The sequence below is a fragment of the Homo sapiens genome, chromosome 4, assembly GCF_000001405.40.
Source record: "Homo sapiens chromosome 4, GRCh38.p14 Primary Assembly".
NCBI classification, from domain to species: domain Eukaryota; kingdom Metazoa; phylum Chordata; class Mammalia; order Primates; family Hominidae; genus Homo; species Homo sapiens.
In genome coordinates, this window is record NC_000004.12 from 134930226 (window position 1) to 134954144 (window position 23919).

Below are 23919 nucleotides of genomic sequence, written 5' to 3' on the forward strand. Positions count from 1 at the left end.
TTTCATTCATTGCTGCAGGCAATGAAAAATGGTACAGTCACTTTTGATGATGGTTTAGCAGTTTCTTACAAGGTATACATAGCTCTGACCAGAAATTTTGCATCTTGGCATTTACCTAAATGAGTTGAAAACATGTCCACAAGAAAACCTGCACATGGATGGTTTATAGCAGTTTTATTCATAATTGCCAAAATTCGTCATTAACAAAATAACTAGAGGTCCTTCAGAAGATGAATAAATAAAAAGTGTTTTTTATGGGATGTTATTCAGTACTAAAAATAAGGGGATGTTATTCAGTACTAAAAAGAAATGAGCTATCAAACCAAAAAAAGACACAAAAGAATCTTAAATACATATCACGAACTTTTTTTTAAAAAGCCAATCTGAAAAGGCTATGTATTGTATGATTCCAACTGTATGACATTTAACTCTTATGCTATTGCTAAAAGTTTTCTAAAAATTTCTCTCTGACACTGTGATCATATGACTGATATATTTCTTTACCACTTCAGTATATGAGCATTATCACTAAAATTTTCCTTCCCAACTTATTTATTTTCTACCTTGTCCTTGATTGAAACTGTGCTCTCCAACCTACTTTGAAGGCCACAGCACAGGTACCTAAGCGAGAGTTAGTAGGATTACAGGAGTGGTTCCAGTGGAGTAAAGAAGGCCACAAGAGTTTTGCCAATTCTCACATGAAGACATATAGTCAAGTTTCCTTTCCTTTGAATATGGGGTGCCCTTGATACTTACATAAGTGACATTATGATACTTCCAAGGCCAGTTTTTAAATAAAACCAGCAGTTTCTACTTCCTTCCTCTTCAGGAGATGCAGCCATCATAGTACAATACTACATACTACATACTACAGCCATCACATGGTCAGAGTTCATAAGTAACGAGGCATCTCACAGAGAGAGAAAGGCCAGGTACAAAGCCCTCGAGACCCAGCTATGAGCGTGAAGCCTTCTTGGACCCTCCAGCTCAGCCTATTCTGCCTGCTGAATTCAACCAAGTGGGTGACTTCAGCCAATACCAAGTAGAGCAGAACAGCTATGAGGTGAACTTATTTGAAAAGGAATAAATTATTCTTAGGTCAATAAATTTGGGGATTGTTTTTAATGAAGCCATATATAAATGAAATCGTTTTTGACTTTGGCTGAACATTTGAATCAACTAGATGGTAACAATTTTAAATGATCTGGAACCAAGCCAAGAAAATTGACATTTTTAAGGGTAGAGTCTTAGCATCCCTATTTTTAAAGGCTCCCAAAGTGACTGCAACACACAGGCAGTGTTGAGAACTATGTAGTTAGTGTTGCTTGTGCCCAGTTCTGCTTCTAAATAACTTCTCCTGTAACATTTAAAAATTCCCCACAGTTTAGCCTTATGTCATCTAGCTCTGTTGCTTTCAATTCTTTAGTCTGAAACGTTTTATTCTTCAAGAACACTCAGTCCTAAGCATTCTGAAAATAATATATCTGTTTGATGTGAAGTGTAATTAATGGATCATAACTTTAATGATTTGGTTTTCTATGTGTTTGTCTGCTTGCCTGTTTTTAACAGTCTGTTTTGTGTATCTGCATATATCTCAGTAGGAAGAGAGTCAATAAATGAATAATCAACTCATTTCTGACATATGACTCATCGAACATATATCTAAATCTTCAGAGATCATTTTTTTTAACAACTTTTTCAGGTGTTTTAAATCTTACATTGCTAATGTGGGAAGTTGTCAGTAAATGATTCAGTGTTTCTATAAGCAGATAATTTCAGTATTTCAAATTTCTTTATATGCCTAAGAGAGACAGGTATCTTTTCCAGATGTTAAGTAGAGACATAAATGCGAACTTAGATTCAATTAGCAAGTTCATAAAATAGCTTATATATTTAATAGATACAATTAACTGATATTTTGGCTTTTTATCAAAATAAATCTTCTTTCAAAGATTAACACATTTTTATTGAGGAGTAATTCTATTGGGTTTATAAAAATCTTGAGAGTGAAAATGAGTCTTGCCAGTTCTAATTTATAATTCATTACTGAAGTGCTTGCATTAAAATACATTGGAGATGGACAAAAACAATCATTTGAATCTAGGTTCCACCAATTACTGACTGTGTGAACTTGATGAAACCACTTAGACCCTCTCAGTTCAGTTCCTCATTTATAGTAATAATAGTATCTATATCCCAAAGCTATTTTGAGGCTTAAAATAAGATAATGTTTCACTTGCAATTCTTATAGGAAAATTAACATTAAGTAAATATTATCAATCTTAATTATGTCTCAGTATCATAATAATGAGCTTGTTGAAACACAGCTAAGAAACACCCCCTACACATCATACCTCTCATCCTTCACTCCATGGAGAAATAAAAGAGGCAGGAGATATTTGAGAAGAAATTCATGAATGGCAACGTAGATTAACTGCCCACCCCTTAAAACAAACATGGATGGCAAAAAATAACATTTGAAAATATGCAAAAAATGAATGAACATTTATTGAATGCCTACTATATGCTATGTACTTTGCTAAGAGTCAACCAAAAAGTTAACAACACACTTCAGGAAGAAAGATTATTGTCAAGTCTTATCAATTATAGATACAATTGTCTCAGAATGTTCTTGGGGTAACCAAAATCTTGCTGAATAGTGTTTAGCTAGCAGAGTGATTTTAATTAGAATCACCTGATTAATACTAGCTTAGTATCCAGGAAGCTAATTTCATTTCTATTTATGCATAGAACCATGTGTAGGATCCAAGACTCCCGAGTTCCAGAGAGGTGCGCTTTCCATTACAACTTGCAGCTGTAGAAATAAAAGAGAACAGTAAATGCTACTTGAATTTCATGATTTCAGATATCCAGTAAAGATGAATTCACTTGCTGCACCTGCTTGTTGTTTTATCATTCCATTTCCTATCTCCCATGTGAAATTGCCCACAGACACAACATCTATTTAAAATGATTGGATCTTGAAAAAATGTAAATTGATATTTTATACCCCATAAGTTCTTCTGCAATGGTAATATCTGTGCTATATGCACATTGAAAATTAAATCATTTTTAAGCTAGCATAGGGCCTGTCTAATAAAAATCCTTCTGAAACCCCACTGTCTTCTCAGTAGCAGCTTTTCACAGTGAAGCATTTAAGCTTTTAAAAAGCACAGAACAAATGTGATTGATTATCAGTTCACTTGCCAGATTCTGCATTGAAATTAAAGAAAGTAAAAGCTCTTCTATGAAAGTGATATAACCACCTGCAATATTAAACCAATAAAACATGTGTTCAGCTATTTATGAAGTGTCTTGACCCAGATATATAAAGTAGCCTTCTAGTATGTAGGAGACTTATATAGTAACTGATCAATCCTTTCTAACTGTGGCAAAACAGTAAAAAGCATACCAAATTGACTAAAAGGCCAAAACACTCTGAAAGAATTCCATCATTGAAACAAATATGAAGTTAGCCACACTTGTGATAAGCAGGACAAATGAAAAAATGCAGCCTATTAGTATGGATGTAGGAGATATTCTAAGAATTATTAATTCATTAAAAAAGATTCCCGGTGCCTGACACATAACAAAACTAGATTTGATTGAGCATTCACTTGTTTTTCTGCTTATCTAAATATTAGACAACGCCCTGATGATTTTCAAGAAGCTGATACAATTCTTTGCAAATAGCTCTGTTATCTATAAATAGCCCATTTCTACTTAGCCTCCATATCATCTATTTTAAATAGCTACAGATAATATTTGTGCATGCTTTGTTGTTTAAGAAGTATAAACACAACCAATAAATGCTGAATTATCTAATAAATAGTAACTTTGGGATTCAATTTAGAGAGAAGCCAATCTGAAACTTGGATGGATCTATTCAATAAATCTGTTCTTTTTGGAAGGGAAGATCTTAGCAACAGAGAATACAAGGTAGGCTAGAGCAGCATGCAATCAACATCAAAGGTTACTAGGTTCCAGGTTCCTAGGCTACCAGGAATTTTCCAGAATGATGATAAAGTATTGAAAGCGTCTTGTAGCTGTGGGTTACGTAAACCTATATGAATGGGTGACAACGAAAGGACAAGGCTTCATTAAGTAGGAGGACCACGTTTTAAAAAGGCAACAACTTTGCCCCAGACAAATAGAATGATTGACTATGGGACAAGATGGACAAACTAAAATGGGAGAGAAATCAATAATGGATTACTAAAACATGGGTGTAACTCAGAGAATCGGTTATAAGAAACAAAGATATTTCTTATTTTACGGGAATCACCGAACAATGTTAAATCAGTGACAAAAACAAGAGACAAACAAACCCATTCATTTACTTCACCCTGGGGCTGCTTTAGATTTAGGCCTTTGATGTGGTTTACGCAGCCTCACACGTATAGTATACGGAGACAGTGGCAGGCATGAAGGTAAGCTTCTGGCAGGGAAGAATGGCATTTATTCCATGTATAGCAGAATTCTTCACCTTTGGGTGTGTATATGGGTGTGTGAATGAAAATTTTCTGTTTGTATTGCTTCATGCAACCACTATTTATTGATGATTTAAACATCCTCAATCAGGGCAAGATTTTAATGTACGTATATTTAATTTTTGAAATAAAAGTTCCATCAACAACGTGATATTAAAGCCAAGCCACTACCATAATGAGTAAATATAAAACTGAAGATAGCAGCAAGATAGAGCCGCAGATATAAATAAAAATCAGTAAGCCTAATATTCTGGGAATATTCATCAATTATTGTTTAAAGCAAGTCCAACACAAAAGTTCAAAATGTTTTAAGTCATGACTACATGATCATAAAATAAAGAGGACATCACCAAGGTGGCCAACTTATTTGACAACCAATTCTGGTAACGATAATAAAATATTTCTATGATGTATAATCACACCGTAAATATCGATAATTCTACCCAAACTTTGTAGCAAAGAAATACATTTTTGTCTTCTACCTCAAAACTTTGTATAATAGAAATGTAGACACTATGTTAAATACTATGAACTATATTGTTCATATTTTCAGAGCAAGAAATGAATGTTTACTTGAAGTTGTTTTTCTTCAAAAATTACTTATTCATATATGGAATAAATAGCCCAGAATAAATACAAAATATTGAGTCTTCTGATTGTCACAGTTTCAGTCATAGGTTCTGGATTTTTCATCGAATGTGCATGTATTCACAGGATTGATAATCCAATAAATTGCGCCCTACTCTCAGTCTGATGATGGATGAGGCAGTGGCAGTGTTGCTCTATACATGAGCACCCCCTTCTGGCCCAACCTGGATACCCATTTCTATTGTAACAACAATTTATTTGGAATATCCCTTACTATATCTTAGATAAATGCTATCCTATGCAAATATGTAAATAGTGATATCACCTCAAGAACTTAGCTCAAGGTGCCCTGTGAATATTTGTTTCATTTTAAAAGCAAACAGAATGAACAATTAGATTAATTTATATTACTTTCCCATTGCTACTGCAAGAAATCACAACACTTTTAGTGGCCTAAAAGAATGCAAATTCATTATTTTACAGTTCAGCAGGTCGGTTGTCTGACATGTGTCATTCTGGGATAGAATCAAGGTCTCAGAAGGGTTTTTACTTCTTTCTGGTAGCTCTTAGGGAGAATGTTTCTCTGCCTTTTTAGCTTCTGGAGAATGTCCACATTCCTTAGGTCATGGACTATTTCCTCCATGTTTAAAACCACCAAATTTGCATTTCTCTGTATTTTTCTCTCATATGTCTCCTTCTTATTCTCTCCTCCACATACTACTACCATTTTAAGGACCCTTGTGATTACATTGCTTCTATTCTGATAATTCAGGTTAATGCCTTTTTTTAAAAACAATCAGGTGACTAGCAACTTAAGCTCATCATGCCAGGACCTGAACATATTCACAGGGTCTGGGGATTAAGACCTGGGCATTGCTATGGTGTGAATGTGTGTCTCCCCCTACCCCCGAGCCCTGCATTCATATGTTAAAATCCTAACTCCCATGGTGATAGTTTTAGGACATGAAGGCTTTGGGGCGCGGGGGTGATTAGGTCATAGAAAGGGAGCCCACATGAATGGAATAAGTGCACTTATGAAACAGGCCCAAGATAAGCCCCTCATCTAAATAAACTCAAAATAAAGACTCAAATAAAATCAGAAATTAAAAGGGTGACACTCCAACTGATACCACAGAAATACAAAGGATTACAAGAAACTATTATGAATAAATATATGCCAACAAATTGGATAACCTAGAAGAAATGGATAAATTTTTTGACGTATATAATCTACCAACATTGAATTATGCAGAAATAGAAAATCTGAACAGACCAATAATGAATAAGGAGATTATAATTAGTAATAAAAAGTCTCTCATCAGAGAAATTCTCAGGACATGATAACTTCACTTTTGAATTCTACCAGACATTTAAAGAAGAACTAATACTAATTCTTCTCAAACTTTTCCAAAAAATTAGAGAGGAGGGAATATTTCCACATTTATTTTACAAGGCCAGTATTATCCTGACACCAAACTCAGACATGGACACTACAAAAGAAGAAAACTATAGGCCAATATCCCTGGTGAACTTAAGTGCAAAAATCTTCAACAAAATATTTTCCGACCAAATATTATGGAATATTTAAAAGATCATTTACCATGATAAGGTGGGATTCATTCCAAGGATGCAAGGATGACTCCATACGCAAGTCAACTAATCTCATACATCACATTAACATAATAAAGAAGAAACACCATATGATTATTTCAATAGGTGTAGAAACAGCATTATACAAAATGTCACATCCTTTCATAATTAAAAAAACCTCTTAGCAAATTAATTACAGAAGAGATGCATCTCAATATAATAAGGACTGTATATGACAAACCCACAGCTAACACCATACTCAATGGAGAAAAATTGAAAGCTTTCCATCTAAGATTGAGAACAAGACAACAATGGCCAAGCTAGCCACTTCTATTTAACCCAGTACTGGAAGTTCTAGCTATAGCAATTAGGCAAGAGGAAGAAAGAAAAGACATCCAAATTGCGAAAAAAAGGTAAACTGTCCCTGTTTGTAGATAACAAAATCTTAGATATAAAAATCCTAAAGACTCCACCAAAAAACTGTTAAAACTAATAAATGAAATCAGTAAACTTACAGAATACAAAATCAATACAAAAAATCAGTAGCATTTCATACACTAATGGTGAGCAATATGAAAAAGCAATCAAGAAAACAGTTTCATTTACTATGGCTAAAAAAAGATATAATAATTAGAAATAAATTTAAACGAGGAGGTGAAAAATCTCTACACTGAAAACTATAGAACAGTGGTTAAAGAAACTAAACAAGACACAAATAAATGTAAAGATATCCCATATATATGGTTTGGAAGAATTAAACTTGTTAAAATGTCCATACCACCTAAAGTGATACACAGGTTCAATGCTATCCCTGTCAAAATATTACTGTCATTCTTTACAGAAATAGAAAAAATAATCCTAAAATTTGTTTAGAACCACAAAAGTCTCTGAATAGCTAAAGCAATGTTGAACAAGGAGAACAAAGCTGAAGGCGTTGCATTACCTGACTTCAAAATATACTACAATATAGCAAACAAAAAAGTGTAATACTAGCATAAAACAAGACACATAGACCAATGAAACAGAATAGAGAGCCCAGAAAATCCACACCTTAATAGCCATCTGATTTTTTATCAAAGTGCTAAGCACACACAATGGGGACAGGACAGTCTTTTCAACAAATGGTGGTGGGAAACGGGATGCCTGCATGCAGAAGAGTGAAATTAGGCCCTTATTTCACGAAAAAATACAAAAATTAACTCAAAATGCATTGAAGACTTAAATGTAAGACTCGAAACTATGAAATTACTAGAATAAAACACAGAGGAAAAGCTTCATGAAATTGGTCTTGACAACTTTTTTTTGGATATAACTTCAAATTGCAGGCAACAAAAACAACTATAGACAAATGGGATTACATCAAACTAAAAATGTTCTGCACAGCAACAGAAAATATCAAGAGTGAGGAAACACTCTTGAGGTTTGAAAACATTTTCTTGAGGAAGAAAATATTTGCGAGCTATGCATCTGATAATGGGATAATACCTAAAATTTATAAAGAATTCAAACTATTCAATGGCAAGAATACAAATAACCCAACTAAAAAATGGGCAGAGGACTTAAATAGACATCTCTCCAAAGAAAATATACAAATGAACAACAGATATATGAAAAAAAATCCTTAACATCACTAATTATTAGGGAAATGCAAATTATACTGTGATGACATATTACCTCACTTCTGTGAGGATGGCTATTACAACAAAGACAAAAGATTACAATGATAGCGTGGATGTAAAGTAAAGGAAATGCTTGCACACTGTTGGTGGAAATGTAAATTAGTATACTCATTATGGAAAACAGTTACGGAGGTTCCTCTAAACTTAAAAATAGAATTACCATGTAACCCAGCAATCCCATTACTCAGTGTATACCTAAAGGAAAGCAAGTCAGTATGTCAAAAGCATATCTGCCCCCATATGTTGATTGAAGCATTATTCACAATAGCCAAGATACAGAATCAACCTGTGTCCATCAATGAATGAATGAATTAATTAAAAAATATGACATAGACATATCTTGTTTCATTGCACTTTACTTAATTATGCTTTACAGATTTTAGATTTTTAAGAAGGTTTGCGGTAACATTGCATCAAGCTAGTGTATTAGTGCTACATTTCCAATAGTATAGTATCACTTCGTGTCTCTCTGTCACACTTCGGTAATTCTCACAATATTTCAAACTTTTTTCACGATTTTATATCTGTTATGGTAATCTTGGATCACTGATGCTTTATGTCACTGTAATAATTGTTTGGGGGCACCACAAACCTCAAACACCCATGTAAGACAGTGAACTTAATTGATAAATATTGTCTGTATTTGATAGCTTCACTGACCAGCCATTTCCCCTTCTCTCTTCCTCTCCTTAGGCCTCCCTCTTCCCTGAGACACAACAATATTGACACTAGGCCAATTAATAACCTTACAATGGCCTCTAAGTTTTCAAGTAAGGAGGGTTGCATGTCCCTCACTTTAAATCAAAGCCAGAAATGATTAAGTTTAGTGAAGAAGGCATGTCAAAGACTGAGATAGCCTGTAAGCTAGGCTTATTGTACCAAACAACCAAATTGTGAATGCAAAGGAAAAGTTCCTTAAAAAAACTAAAAGTGTCACTCCAGTGAATACATGAATAATAAGAAAGTGAAACAGTCTCATTATTGATATGATATGGAGAAAGTTTTAATGGTCTGAACAGAAATCAAACCAGCCACAGCATTCCTTTAAGTCAAATCCTAATTCAGAGCATGACCCTAGCTCTCTTCAATTCTCTGAAGGCTGAGAGAGGTAAGGAAGCTGCAGAAGAAAGTTTGAAACTATCAAATGTTGGTTCTTGAGGTTTAAGGAAAGAAAGCTCAAGGTAAAACAGCAAATTATCCAGAAGATCTAGCTGAAATAATTGATGAAGATAGTTACACTAAATAATACATTTTCAATGTAGATGAAACAGGCTTCTATTGGAAGAAGATACTATCTAGGACTTTCAAAGCTAGTGAAAAGCCAATGTCTGGCTTTAAAGCTTCAAAGAACAAGCTGAGTCTCTTGTTAGGAGCTAATGCAGCTGTTAAATTATTTCTTATTTTAAAAAACTGCCACAGTCACTCCAGTCTTCAGCAACCACCACCCTAATCATTAGCAGCCATCAACATCAATGCAAAATCCTCCGCTAGAAAAAAATTATAACCTACTGAAGGCTCAGAGAATCATTACCATTATTTAGCAATGAAGTATTTTTAATTAAGGTTTACACATTGTTTTTTAAACATAATTCTATTGCACACTTGATAGACTATTGTATACAGTAAGCAAAACTTTTACATATCCTGGGAAGTCAAAAAATTTGTGTGACTCACTTTATTGTGATATTCACTTTATTGCAGGGTTCTGGAGCTGGACCCACAATATCTTCAAGGTATGCCTGTATGTACACACAACGAAACACTATTCGGCCATGAAAAAGAAGAATAATCTGTCATTCATGACAACATGGAGGACATTATGCTAAGTGAAATAAGCCAGAGAGAAAGACAAATACTATATAAGCTCATGCATGCAGAATCTAAAAAAGTTGATCTCATAAAAGTAGAGAATAAAATGGTGGTTACCAGAGGTTGGGGTGGCTGTGAAGAGGACTGGGGAGACATTGGTCAAAATATATAAAATTATAGTTATATAGGAGTTATAAGTTCACGAAATCTGTTTTTCAGCATAGTGACTATACTTAATAATGATGGATTACATTCTTAAACAATGCTAAGAATGAATGTTAAATGTTCTCACCATAAAAATAACTGTGAGGAAATGCATATTTTAATTAGCTACACTTAACCATTCCAAAATGTGTAGGTACTTCAAAACATCACGTTACATATGATAAATACATTCAATTTTATGTCTCAATTTAAAATAAATAATTTTAGAAAATTAATTTTTAAAATTGATATATAATACTTGTATATATTTATGGGATACAAAGTGATGTTTCAATACATATAGTGTGTCGTGATCAAGACAAAAGTAATTACCTCTGGTTATAGCACCCCCAAAAAACTGATCATCATCTTTAACTCTGACAATCTCTAGGTGTGGGAGAACAAAAGCTGCTTTCATCTTTAACAATGCATTGGATCAAAGTTTGTATTATCAAGAACATACATTCTTTCAAATGTTTTTCCAAAAAGGAACATATATTTTTAATATTCTAACTCCCCAATTGGTTGGTAGCCATATACCAACCAATCTCATTAAGCTGTCATGGCTGTTAGCTTTTCTTCTTTTCTAAACCATTAAATTAAAAAAAAAATGCAAAAGATTTTATAGATCAAAGCCAATTAATTGGTACCCTGGTATGCACAAAGTTAAGGACCGAGTTGTTTTATTTGAATAGTCACACTGAGAAAGCTCAATATTAATTCACTCTGTCCCCAAACATGCATATTTTAAATGCAAATCCTTTTAGAAAACAAGGGGAACATAAGATAGTGCTTGATTCTTTTTCCTAAATGCTTTTTCTTTCCTTCTTATTAATTTGAAAGAAGGATACATTAGGTAACTTTTTTTATACCTTTAAGAAGATTTAATTTAGTGTTTCTACCAGGCACTGTGAAAAAAAAATTGCTTTAAAAGACAAACAATAGCAAGAAATACATTGAATCATTATTCTAATAGGGTGCAAATACATTTGAATAAGCGATTAAATAGACATTTCAAACAAATTAATAAAAACATTGATTCTAACTTTAGTGAGATAACACTGATGAAAGAGTCTCTTAGGTAATGGCCGGGGGGGGCGAACAGCATACTTTTCCAGAGAAAGGAACATAGCTCTAAGTCTCCAAGAATGAGTGAGTATTATGAGGTAAAGGTCTAGCAGGGAGGTCAGCAAGCACTAAAAGTGGGGAGAGTGGAATATTCTGTTGTTATCAAGGGAGGAAGAGTAAAAACTTTGATGTGGACTAAATAGATATGGTGAGTAGCGTGGAGTAGGAATGAGGCAAGATTTAAATTAAACTGCATGTCAAGAACTTCTGGTTTCTAATCCAACATGTAAGGAACTTTGAAGCCATCACTGCATCCTAACCACAAGTAAAAATCTGATCAAATTGAAAACTAAACTGCTCTTCTTAGATTGACTAGAGACCTGAGGTCACAGAACAAACTGCTGTGGAGTTTGTAGAGAGGCAGCTACAGAGAATTCAACTTAACAGAGCAGAAACGTACTCCTGTTGGAGCCAGTACCAGGGTAGGAAAGCTTGAATTGTCATTAATGCTGGAGGCTTAGTGTAGACAAGTCTAAGATGAAAAATAAAAATAAAAAATAAAAAAAACTCCAGGGGACCCAGTCTTAGTGAGGCTTTTGCATTTTTTTGAGTTTTATCTTTAGCTCTACGAAGTTCTCAAGATGAACATTAGAGAAAAATTTCTTTGGGCTTCTCGCAGGGGAAGGAAAAGTAACAATTTTAAAATACACCACAGCATTCCATTATTCTTAAGACCTTATCTTGAGAAAAACTATTTTGCCAGAGCCTAACCTACTGGGGTTTTAGCAGAGCCTAACTTATCTGGGGGAAAGGAGGTACCTAACTCCATCCTCCACTAACCATCCTATATCACATAAAGAGCAGAAAGAAAAAAATTGAGATGCATTTGTGAAATTCACACCACAGGAGCAGAGGCTCACTAAAAGAGTAAAATCTAAACATGGGGCTGCGGAAAGCTTCCGCTCCCTCTACCATGATGTTATAAAACTCTATTTTCCACATTTTCCTTTACCAGTGCATCACATCTGCTGTTTAACAACAACAATAAAAACCATTATAAGGCATACTTGAGAAACAGAGCAATGGGGTGGCATAAATATTGAATTTATCAGATTCAGTTATGACAGAAATGTTGACATTATCAGACCATGAATATAAACCATATTTGGTTAATATGCTAAGGGCTGTAATGAAAAAAAATACACAACATTAAAGAACAGATGAACAATGAAAGCAGAGAAATTGAAATTATAAGAATACATAGAAAATAAATGCTTACCATAAAAAACTGAAACAAAAATAAAGAATGGCTTTGAGAGGATCATTAGTAGACTGGACAAGCCTATGGAAAGAATCTCTGAGCTTAAGGATATGTCAATAGAAACGTCCCAAACCAAAAAACAAGGAGAAAAACACACCAGAAAAATGCAACAGAATATCCAAGAACTGTGGGACAACTACAAAAGCTGTAATATCTACATAATTAAAATAAAAGGAGAACAAAGAGAGAAAGAAATAAAACAAATAGAAGTAGTAAAATGACTTAGAACTTCCCTAAATGAATATCAAACACCAATCCACACATACAGGAAGCTCAGAGAACACCAAGTAGTATCAATATAAAAAACTACACCCAGGAATATCATATTTAAACTGCAGAAAATCAAAGATAAAGATCAAATGTTGAGTTAATCCAGTGAGAAAAAATACCTCTCCTATAAAGTAGAAAATATAAGAATTAATCCAACTTCTCAAAAAAAATATAAGCAAGAAGAGAGTAGAGTGAAATATTAAAAGTATTGGCAAAAGAAAATAAAGCAAGACATACACACACACAAACCACATCACCTTGAATTCTTTCGCCTGTAAAATTACAATGCAAAAGTGAGGGAAAACTAAAGACTTTCTCAGACTGGTGAAAATTGCAGGGTTTGTTGCTAATAGACCTACCTTGCAAGAAATGTTAGAAGTTTTTTAGAGAGAAAAAAAGTAATGTAGGCCAGAGACTTGGAACTGCATGAAGAAATAATATTAGAGAAGGAATAAATGAAAGTAAGATTGTAAGTTTTAGTTTTCTTATTCCTATCTAATAGATAATGGTTTGTTCAAAATAAAAATAACAATAATGTAATTGATGATTACAGCTTTTGTATAAGTGAAATGAATGGTAACAATGCTACGTGTGATTAGAGGGAGGAATTAGAAGTATGTTGTTATTATAAGGTACTTGCACTACTTCTGAAATTGCATTTCAAAGCAACCACTAAAAAAATAAAAATAAAAATAAGTATAGTTGATACAGTAAGAAGAGAGAAAATGGAATCATATAAAATGCTTAATTGAACCTACAAAAAGCAGAAAAAGAGGGGAAGACAAAATAGGAACAAAGAGCAAGGGCATCAAATAGAAAACAGTGACAAACATGATAGACATTAATGTGACTATATCAGTGAGTACTTTACATATCAATTGTCTAATAATACTAATTTAAAAGACAGCAATTGTCAGGGTGAATTAAAAAACAAGACTCAACTATGTGTTGTTTATAAGAAATCAACTTTAGGAATGAGTCCGCCGGATCGGTGACTGCGGAGGGCTAGGTGACCCCGGCCGCCGCCATGATGGGCAGCGAGTTTGGGAATCGGACGTAGATGCAACATGTGATCTCCTACAGCTTGTCACCTTTTGAGCAGCGTGCCTCCCCGTACTACTTCCGTAAAGGAATCCCCAACGTGCTGCGCCGCACTCGGCAGTCTTTCCTTCGCGTAATGCCGCCGTTTGTAGTGTTTTATCTTATCTATACATGGGGGACTCAAGAGTTTGAGAGATCCAAGGGGAAGAATCCAGCTGCCCATGAAAATGACAAATGAGCAACACATCCGGATGATGGTTCCCTGTCCCTGGAAGAGCTTTCTCTGGAAGAGGAGTCTGCATTGTAGTGTCTTAACGACACAATAAACTTCCTATGTTCTGCAAAATAAAAAGAGAAAGAAAAGAAAAAGAAAAAGAAAAAAGAAAAAAAGAAAATCAACTCTAAATATGAAGACACATATAGATTGAAAGTGAAGGGATGGTGAAAATATGCCATACTAACACAGATAAAAAATCAAGTATCTCTATCCACTATAATAATGTCACACAAAACACACTTCAGAGCTAGGATAATTATCAGGGATAAAAAGAGGCATTACAAAATGATAAAAGATTGACTCTCCAAGAAGATAGCAATTCTTAAGGTATATGCATCTCACAGAATGCCAAAATACATGAAGCAAAAGCTGATAGGACTGCAAGGAGAAATAAATGAATCAATTACTATAGTTGGAGACATCATCACTTCTCTATCAAAAATGGATAGATCCAGCAGGCAGAAAATTAGTAAGGACATACTTTAACTCAACACCACCATCAGTTAACAGGATATAATGAATATCTACAGAATAATTCATTCAACAATGCAGAATACACATTCTTCTCAAGCTTACATGAAATTGCCACCAAAATAGACCACATTTTTGGACATAAAAGACAACTTAACAAATTTAAAATAGTAAAAATCATGTAATGTCTACTCTCAGATTATGACTCAATCAAACTAGAAACCAGCAACAGAAAGATAGCTGGAAAAAACCTCTCAAAATACTTGATTAGAATACATACTCCTTAATGATACATGATTGAAGAAGAAATTTCAACAGAAATTTAAGATGTTTTGAATTAAATACAACTAACAAAATGTATGAGATTCAGTGAGCAGTGGTTAGAAGAAAACTGTAGCATGTACCAGAAAATAAATTTTAAAAAATAAATTATCTACATGTTCACCTTAGGAACCTACAAAATAAAATAACAAGTTAAATTCAAATAAAGCAAAAGAAAAAAATCAGAGCCAAAATCAATTAAAGCAAAAATAGAAAATCAATAAAGAAAATCTACAAAATAAAAATTGTTTTTTTTTTTTTTTGAAAAAAAATCTGTACAAGTGATAAGCCTCTAGACAGGCTAACTTTTAAAAAAGAGAGAAAACACAAATTATTAATAACAAAAGTGAAAATGGTGCCACTACTGCAGATCTGATAGACATTAAATAAGTAATAAAGGAATACTACAAACAACTTCATGCCCCACAATTTAATAACACAGATTAAACGGCCTAATTTCTGGAAATAAACAATCTGCTAAAACCTACCTAAGATGAAACAGACAATCTGAATAGGCCTATATCTATTAAAGAAATTAAGTCAACACTTAATAACATTCCAAAAAGAAATCACGAGATCTAGATAATTTCACTGGTGAATTCTACCAAACACTTAAGTGAGAAATTATAAAATATTTTCCAGAAGATAGAAGCAGAAGGAAAACTTCATAATTCATTCTATTGCTATGTAACCAACACCATCCTAACACCAAAACCAGACAAATATATTACCAAAAAAATCTAAAAACCAACATCTCTTGTAAACATAGATGGCAAAATCCTCATCAAAATATTAACAAATTAATCAAAAAAGTATCAAAATAATTATACATTATGACCACATGAGATTTATTTCAAGTATGCATGACTAGTTCAACATTCAAAATTCAATTTATATAATCCAACACATTAACAGGCTAAAGAAAAAAAACTACATGATCACATCAGTAGATGCAGAAATAACATTTGAGAAAATTTAACACCTATTCATGATAAAAACTCTCAGCAAACTAGGAATAGAGGGGAACTCCCACAACTGGATAAATAACATGTACAAATAATCTATAGCTAACACTATCCATAATGGTGAGAAACTTGAAGCTTACCTGTAATATCAATGTTTAGTCCATTTTCTGTTATTTTGAATAGAATACCTGAATTTGTGTAATTTATAAGAAAAGGAATTCCTTTCTTACAGTTCTGAAAGCTGAGAAGTACAATGTCAAGGGACTACATCAGGTGAAAGTCTTCTTGCTGGTGGGAACTTTCTACAGAATCTCCAGGTGGTACAGAGTATCACATGGTGAGAGGGCTTAGCATACTAATGTGCTAGCTCAGCTCTCTCTTCCTCTTCTTATAAAGTCACTAGTTCCCCTCCCATTACAAGCCACTAATCCAGTAATCTATCTATTAATTCATGAATGTATTAATTCATTCATAGGTGCAGAACCCTCATGATCCAATCTCCTATTAAGGGCCCCACTTCTCAACACTGCCATACTGTGGACCAAGTTTCAACATGAGTTTTGGAGGGGACATTCAAACCACAGCAATCTAGAACAATGAAAGGATAACCCCTCCCGCCATTCTTTATCACATCATACTACAAATCCTTCCTAATGCAATAAAGTACATAGAATGGAAAGGAAAATATAAAACTGTCTTTGTTCACAGATAATATGATCAACTATATGGAAAATCTGAAAGAATCCACAAACTCCTGGAAATATTAAGCAGTTACAGCAAGGTTATAGTGTGTCCGGAATTGGTGGGTTCTTGGTCTTGCTGACTTCAAGAATGAAGCTGCGGACCCTCGCAGTGAGTGTTACAGTTCTTAAAGATGGTGTGTCCCAAGTTTTTTCCTTCAAATGTTCAGATGTGTCCAGAGTTTCTTCCTTCTGGTGGGTTCGTGGTCTTGCTGACTTCAGAAGCGAAGCTGCAGACCTTCGTAGTGAGTGTTACAGCTCTTAAAAGTGGTGTGTCTGGAGTTGTTTGTACCTTCCAGTGGGTTTGTGGTCTTGCTGGCCTCAGGAGTGAAGCTGCAGACCTTTGTGGTGAGTGTTACGGCTCATAAAGGAGGCACGGACCCAAAGAGTGATAAGCAGCAAGACTTATTGCAACAGCAAAAGAACAAAGCTTCCACAGCATGAAAGCGGATCTGAGTGGGTTGCCACTGCTGGATCAGGAGGCCTGCTTTTACTCCCTTATCTGGCCCCACCCACATCCTGCTGATTGGTCCATTTTGACAGAGCGCTGATTGGTGCATTTACAAACCTTTAGCTAGACACTGAGCGCTGATTGGTGCATTTACAATCCTTTAGCTAGACACAAAAGTTCTCCAAGTCCCCTACCTGATTAGCAAGACACAGAGTGCTGATTGGTGCATTTACAAACCTTTAGCTAGACACAGAGTGCTGATTGGTGCATTTACAATCCTCTAGCTAGACATAAAAGTTCTCCAAGTCCCCACTAGATTAGCTAGACACAGAACACTGATTGGTGCATTTGCAAACCTTTAGCTAGACACAGAGTGCTGATTGGTGCATTTACAATCTTCTAACTAGACATAAAAGTTCTCCAAGTCCCCACCAGATTAGCTAGATACAGAGTGCTGACTGGTGCATCCACAAACCCTGAGCTAGACACAGAGTGCTGATTGGTGCATTTACAATCCTCCAGCTAGACATAAAAGTTCTCCAAGACCCTACCTGATTCAGGAGCCCAGCTGGCTTTGCCTAGTGGATCCTGCACCAGGGCAGCGGGTGGAGCTGCCCACCAGTCTCGCGCTGCGTGCCTGCACTCCTCACCCTTTGGGCGGTCGATGGGACCGGGTGCCACAGAGCAGGGGGTGGCGCCTGTCGGGGAGGCTCCGGCGGCGTGGGAGCCCACCAGTGGGGAGTGGGGCTCAGGCGTGGCAGGCTGCAGGTCCCAAGCCCTGCCCTGCAGGGAGGCAGCTGAGGCCTGGTGAGAATTCGAGCATGGCAAGGGTGGGCCAGCAGTGCTGGGGGACCTGGTGTACCCTCCACAGCTGCTGGCCTGGGTGCTAAGCCCCTCACTGCCCTGGGCCGGTGATGCCAGCTGGCTGTTCCTAGTGCGGGGCCGCAGAACCTGCGCCCACCTGGAACTCACCCTGGCCTGTGAGTGCCGCATGCAGCCCTGGTTCCTGCTGGCGTCTCTCCCTCCACCCCTCCCCGCAAGCAGAGGGAGCTGGCTCTGGCCTCAGCCAGCCCAGGGAGGGGCTCCCACAGTGCAGCAGTGGGCTAAAGGGCTCCCCAAGCGTGGCCAGAGTGGATGCCGAGGCCAAGGAGGCACCGAGAGCGAGCGAGGGTTGCTAGCACATTGTCACCTCTCAATAGGATGTAAAGTTAATATACAGAAGTCAACTGCTTTTCTACAGACACACACAATAAGTCGAATTCGAAACAAAAAACCATAAAATAAATAAATGATATAAACTTATCATTTTCATTTGCACCTCCAGAAATGAAATACTTAGATATAAATTTAACTATATATATATAATATGTATATTAGGAGAATTATACAATTCTGATGAACGTTACAAGGAAGAACCAAATAAATGGGGAGATATTCTAGGTCCATAGATAGGAAGACTCAATATTGTCAAGATGTCAGTTTTTCCTAAGTTGATCAATACATTCCTAATCAAAATTCCAGTAAGTCTTTTTGTGAATATTGACAACTTAATTAGAAAATTCATATGGAGAGGCCAAAGACCCCAGAATAGCTAACTCAATATAGAAATAGAAAAAAAATCAGAAGACTGACACTATCTGACTTCAAGGCTTTCTATAGAGCTACTGCATCAAAATAGTGTGATATTTCCAGAAGAATAGGTAAATAAATCAATTAAACAGAATAGTAAGCCCAGAAGTTGACTCAAATATAGTTAGTTGATCTTTGACAAAGAAGCAAAAGTAATGCAATGGAGAAAAGACAGTCTTTTCAACAAATGGCACTGGAATAATTGAACATTCAGGTTAAACAAAAAGGATTAATACACTGTTTACAAAAATTAACTAAAAATAAATTATAGACATAAATAGGAAATGCAAAACTATGAAATTCCTAGGAGATAATATTTTTAAATATCTGAATTCCTTTGGTTTTGCTGATGATATATAGAGATAATACCAAAGCCATGTTTTTTGAAATAAATAATTAATAAGCTGAACTTTATTAAAATTTAAAACTCTGCTCTTCAAAAGACATTGTGAAGAGAATGAGAATATATGCCAGACTGGAAAAAATATTTGAAAAAGACATATCTGATAAACAACTGTTACCCAAAATATATTTTAAAAACTCACTTAAAACTCAACAATAACAATAATACTTGATTAAAAATGGCCAGAAGATCTCAACAGGCACCTCATCAAGGAATATAAACAGATGGCAAATAAACATATGAAAACAAGCTCCACATCATGTCCTTAGGGTATTGAAAATTAAAGCAACAATGAAATACCACTAAACACTTATTTAAATGGTTGAAATTAAAGCACTGAAAAAAGCTGGTGATGATGTGGGGCAACAAGAATTCTCATTCATTGCTGGTGGGAATAAAAAATGTTACAGCATCCTTGGAAGCCAACTTGTCAGTTTCTTACAAAACTAAATATACTCTGGCCATACTATTCAGCCATGACACTCCGTGGAATTTATTCAAATGAGTCAAAAATTTATATTCACACAAAAATCTGCACATAGACATATATGTAGCTTTATTCCTAATTGTCAATATAGTAAGAATTTAATTCAGTAGGTGAATTGATAAATAAACTGTTGAAAATGAATACTTTAGAATATTATTAAGTACTGAAAAGAAATGACTTATCAAGCCATAAAAAGACATGGAGGAAACTTTAATGCACATTGCTAAATTAAGAAAGCCAATGGGAGAAGGCTACGTACTATATTAGTTCAAAATATGACATGCTAGAAAAGGCAAAACTATGGAGACATAAAAAAGATCAGTGTTTTCAAAGGGTAAGGGAACACCCATAAAATCCATAACATCAAGAATGAACCTAATGTCAAAACTATGAACTTTGGCTGTGTAGGTTCAGTAATTGTGACTAATTTACCACTCTAGTGCAGGATATTGATAGGGAGGAGGTTGTAAACATGTGAAGATACTAAGTATACGGTAATTCTCTATACTTTCCACTCAATTGGTCTGCAATCCTAAAAGTCCTCTACAGAATAAAATCTATTTAAATTTTGTATGTCAAAGTACATGTTTAGTGTTCATTTGGCGAGCAATTGGAAATCATTACTACCTTTTGCATATAAAAAATGAATTCCTTTAAATCTGTTGCAAGAAAGAAAATAACTCACCAACTGGTGAGTTAACTCACCTACCAATCTCATTAAGCCTTTCTTATCGTAACATTGTAACATTGTGGTATTATGATTCAAATACTTCTTTAATGAGAAGAAAAGATCAGTGTCTTAGTAGACACTTGATTTATCTGAATTTTTAGGCCCATTAATCTTGCTATATTTCTTGGCAGATTACGAACTACTCTATAGCCACTGTGTTACATTACTAGATTAATTGATGAGACTATTTTCAAAATAAGTGAGGCCATTGAGCATTAGAATAAAGACTCCAAAAATATTTTCCTTTGTTTAGTTTTATTTTTTAACAAAATTAAAGTCGGGGTTTTCCCTTGTCACCAGTTGTACATTCTTCACTTCAGTTCTTGCTAAAAGAAAGAGATCTAAGTAGTAACCTCATAATTCTCCAGCTGAATTGAATCTTAGCTTTCAATGGAAATAATTATTTAACATCAAATATTCAAACCAGCCTCTTTGTCATATCTCCAAATAAACATTCTATTGATTCATTTAATCCTTAAACAAATATTTTTAGTACCATGTCTAAGTACAGTACATTTCAAGTCCTTCAGAAATTCTGAAATAAATATGACATATAACCAAGGTGCTTAATATATCGTGAGCACTGACTAATCAAAACAGATACTCAACTATTAAAGAAAATTTTGGCTGGTATTCTGCATAGTTCTTTGCATTTGGAGTTCACAGTGTAATGGGAAAAGAGAGAGGAATAAATGACTATAAGTAAGAAAAAAAAGTAATGTCCAAATTATCGCATATGCAAAAATAAGCAAATAGCAGAGAAGGCAGTTAGAAAATTTTGAGAGAAAATTTAGGATTTGAGCTAAAAGTTGAAAATCAAAGACAGAACAAAGAAAAAAACTTATAAAATTGAAAAATAACCTCTCCAAAACCAAAATATAAATAAAATATAGACATAGTCATTAATAAAGTTATAGTATATATGTGTAACACAAATATTAAATGTTTGTGCTGTCTATATATCAAGGATAGAAATAAACTTAATATTTAGCTCAAAAATTACTGTTCATTTTGGTGTGTATAAACAAAACACTGAAGAAATGTACCAGCCCACTAGAAATATGCATAATTGAAATTGAAACTTGCTATAACTGAAGTAATAACTCTTTACCAATTAAGACTTACATTTTAAAACACTAGTTAAAACAGTATCTACAGATATTCATCTGTAGATTTAGGGAAATAAGATAATTTATACATTACACAGAGTATATTTCTATAATGAATATATTGCTCAGGATTGATTAGCTTATGCTGCCATATTTAACACAATTAAGTTTTCTTTTTCACTTACCCAAAATCTGCTCATACCTAGGTGAATCATTAGGACAGTTCAATGATTGATGTGATATCTATCTCTAAGTCCCATCATTTTCTTTTTTTTTTTTTTTTCAGGCTTAACTCACTTTATTTTTCTTGTATAAAAACCCTGTGTTGTAGCCACAGCTGGAGCCTGAGTCCGCTGCACGGAGACTCTGGTGTGGGTCTTGACGAGGTGGTCAGTGAATTCCTGATAGGGAGACTTGGTAAATATAGTCTCCTTCCAGAGGTCGGGGGTCAGGTAGCTGTAGGTCTTAGAGATGGCATCAAGGTGGCCTTGGCGAAGTTGCCCAGGGTGGCAGTGCAGCCCCGGGCTGAGGTGTAGCAGTCATCAGTACCAGCCATCATGAGCAGCTTCTTGGGCACAGATGCGGAGACGATGCCAGTGCCCCTGGGTTAAGGGATGAGGCGCGCCAGCACAGAGCCACAGAGGCCTGTCACCTTGCAAGGGACGGTGTGGGGCTTGCCAGTCTTGTTCCCCCAGTAGCCTCTGTGCACGGGGACAATGGAGAGCTTGGGCAGGATGATAGCCCCACGGATGGCGGTGGCCACCTCCTTGGAGCACTTAACACCCAGGCCTACGTGGCCATTGTAGTCCCCAATAGCAACAAACGCCTTGAACCTGTGCGCTGGCCAGCATGGGTCTGCTTCTGCACCGGCATTATCTTCAAAACCTCGTCCTCGAGAGAGGCCCCCAGGAAAAAGTCAATGATTTCAGATTCCTTAATGGGGCAGGGAGAAGAAAGAGATCTCCTCCAGGGACTTGATCTTCATGTCCTTGACCAAGCGGCCCAGATTGGTGACGGGCATCCACTCCCTATCCTCGCCTTGCCTCTGCGAGCTCCTCAGCCTCGGCCCGGCCCTGTCCACGGCCACGACCACGGTCCCAGATGCCACTACCGAAACCTCCGCGGAAGCCACCGCGGTTGCCCATCCCAGGGCCACCAGAGCCTACGCGCCCCCGCCCCCCGCACCGGCGTCATCCGCCACATCATTTTCAACAAGTGGGCTACAGAATATGGTGACAGAGAATTGTCCTGGAGAGCCCAATTTTATTCCCTTGATTCTGAAGATACACACTCAAGTTGTACTCACAATTCATTGGCCAGAACGCATATCTTGATTGCCCAATGACTTCCAGAACGCTAAGAAGTATGCCCAGCAAGGAGAGGGGAACTAGATACTGGTTTTCACATGTAATGTCTCCTAAAAAAACACTTTCATTACATCTACTTTGACAAGTAAACATGGAGAGTAAACATGGAGAGTAAACATACCTGTAATCAAATATAAGGAAGATTGAAGGGTTCATGACTTTACTGTTTGTTTTTTTTTTAAAGAAGATAGGATGTGTTCAAATTGTTTGTGTAGTCTATGATTTCTTTCAGCAGCGTTTTATAGTTTTCTTCGTGGAGATCTTTCACCTCCTTGGTTAGGTATATACCAAATAATTTTGTTTCATTTTTTGCAACTGTTGTAAAAGGGGTTGGGTTTTTGATGTGATTTTCATCTTGGTTGTTGTTGGCTGTTGGTTAATATCAATAGCAGTGCTGTTGATTTGTGTACACTGTTTTGTATCCTGTAACTATACTGAATTCATTTATCAGATCTAGGAGCATTTTGGAGGAGTCTTTGGGGTTTTTTAGGGATATCATCATATCATTGGTGACTAGCAACAGTTTGACTTCCTCTTTACTGATCTGGATGCCCTTTATTTCTTTCTTCTGTCTGATTGCTCTGGCTAGCACTTCTGGTACTACGTTAAATAGAAGTGGTGAAAGTGGGCATCCTTGTCTTGTTCCAGTTTTCAGGGGGAATGCTTTCAATTCTTCCCTGTTCAGTATAATGTTAGCTGTAGGTTTGCCATAGATGGCTTTTATTACCTTGATGTATGTCTCTTGTATGCTGATTTTGTTGAGGGTTTTAGTCATCAAGAGATGCTGGATTTTGTCAAATGCTTTTTCTATATCATTGGGATGATCATATGATTTTTGTTTTTAATTCTGTTTGTGTGATATACTACATTTATTGACTTGCAGATGTTAAACCATCCCTGAGTTCCTGG

The 23919-nt window shown here is 35.7% G+C and overlaps 2 long non-coding RNA genes and 2 pseudogenes across 4 annotated transcripts; 2 read left to right on the forward strand and 2 right to left on the reverse strand.

Annotated features, from left to right (window-relative positions):
* Positions 1-2485: 2485 nt before the first annotated feature.
* On the reverse strand, positions 2486-14062 carry LOC105377438 (uncharacterized). Of its 2 annotated transcripts, NR_188430.1 has the most exons (3): positions 13962-14062; positions 10022-10086; positions 2486-2815 (listed from the first exon to the last, which is right to left on the reverse strand). It is a non-coding gene; the product is annotated as an uncharacterized LOC105377438 (long non-coding RNA). The 2 variants fall into 2 exon arrangements; NR_188431.1 differs by lacking the exons at positions 10022-10086; positions 13962-14062 and adding an exon at positions 3413-3971.
* On the forward strand, positions 4037-16794 carry LOC105377437 (uncharacterized). Of its 2 annotated transcripts, XR_939216.1 has the most exons (4): positions 4037-4430; positions 10049-10080; positions 16327-16367; positions 16570-16794. It is a non-coding gene; the product is annotated as an uncharacterized LOC105377437 (long non-coding RNA). The 2 variants fall into 2 exon arrangements; XR_939215.2 differs by lacking the exon at positions 16570-16794 and having other exon boundaries at positions 16327-16421.
* Positions 14050-14298, forward strand: LOC107986237 (cytochrome b-c1 complex subunit 8-like; annotated as a pseudogene).
* RPS2P27 (ribosomal protein S2 pseudogene 27) lies at positions 21927-22843 on the reverse strand (annotated as a pseudogene).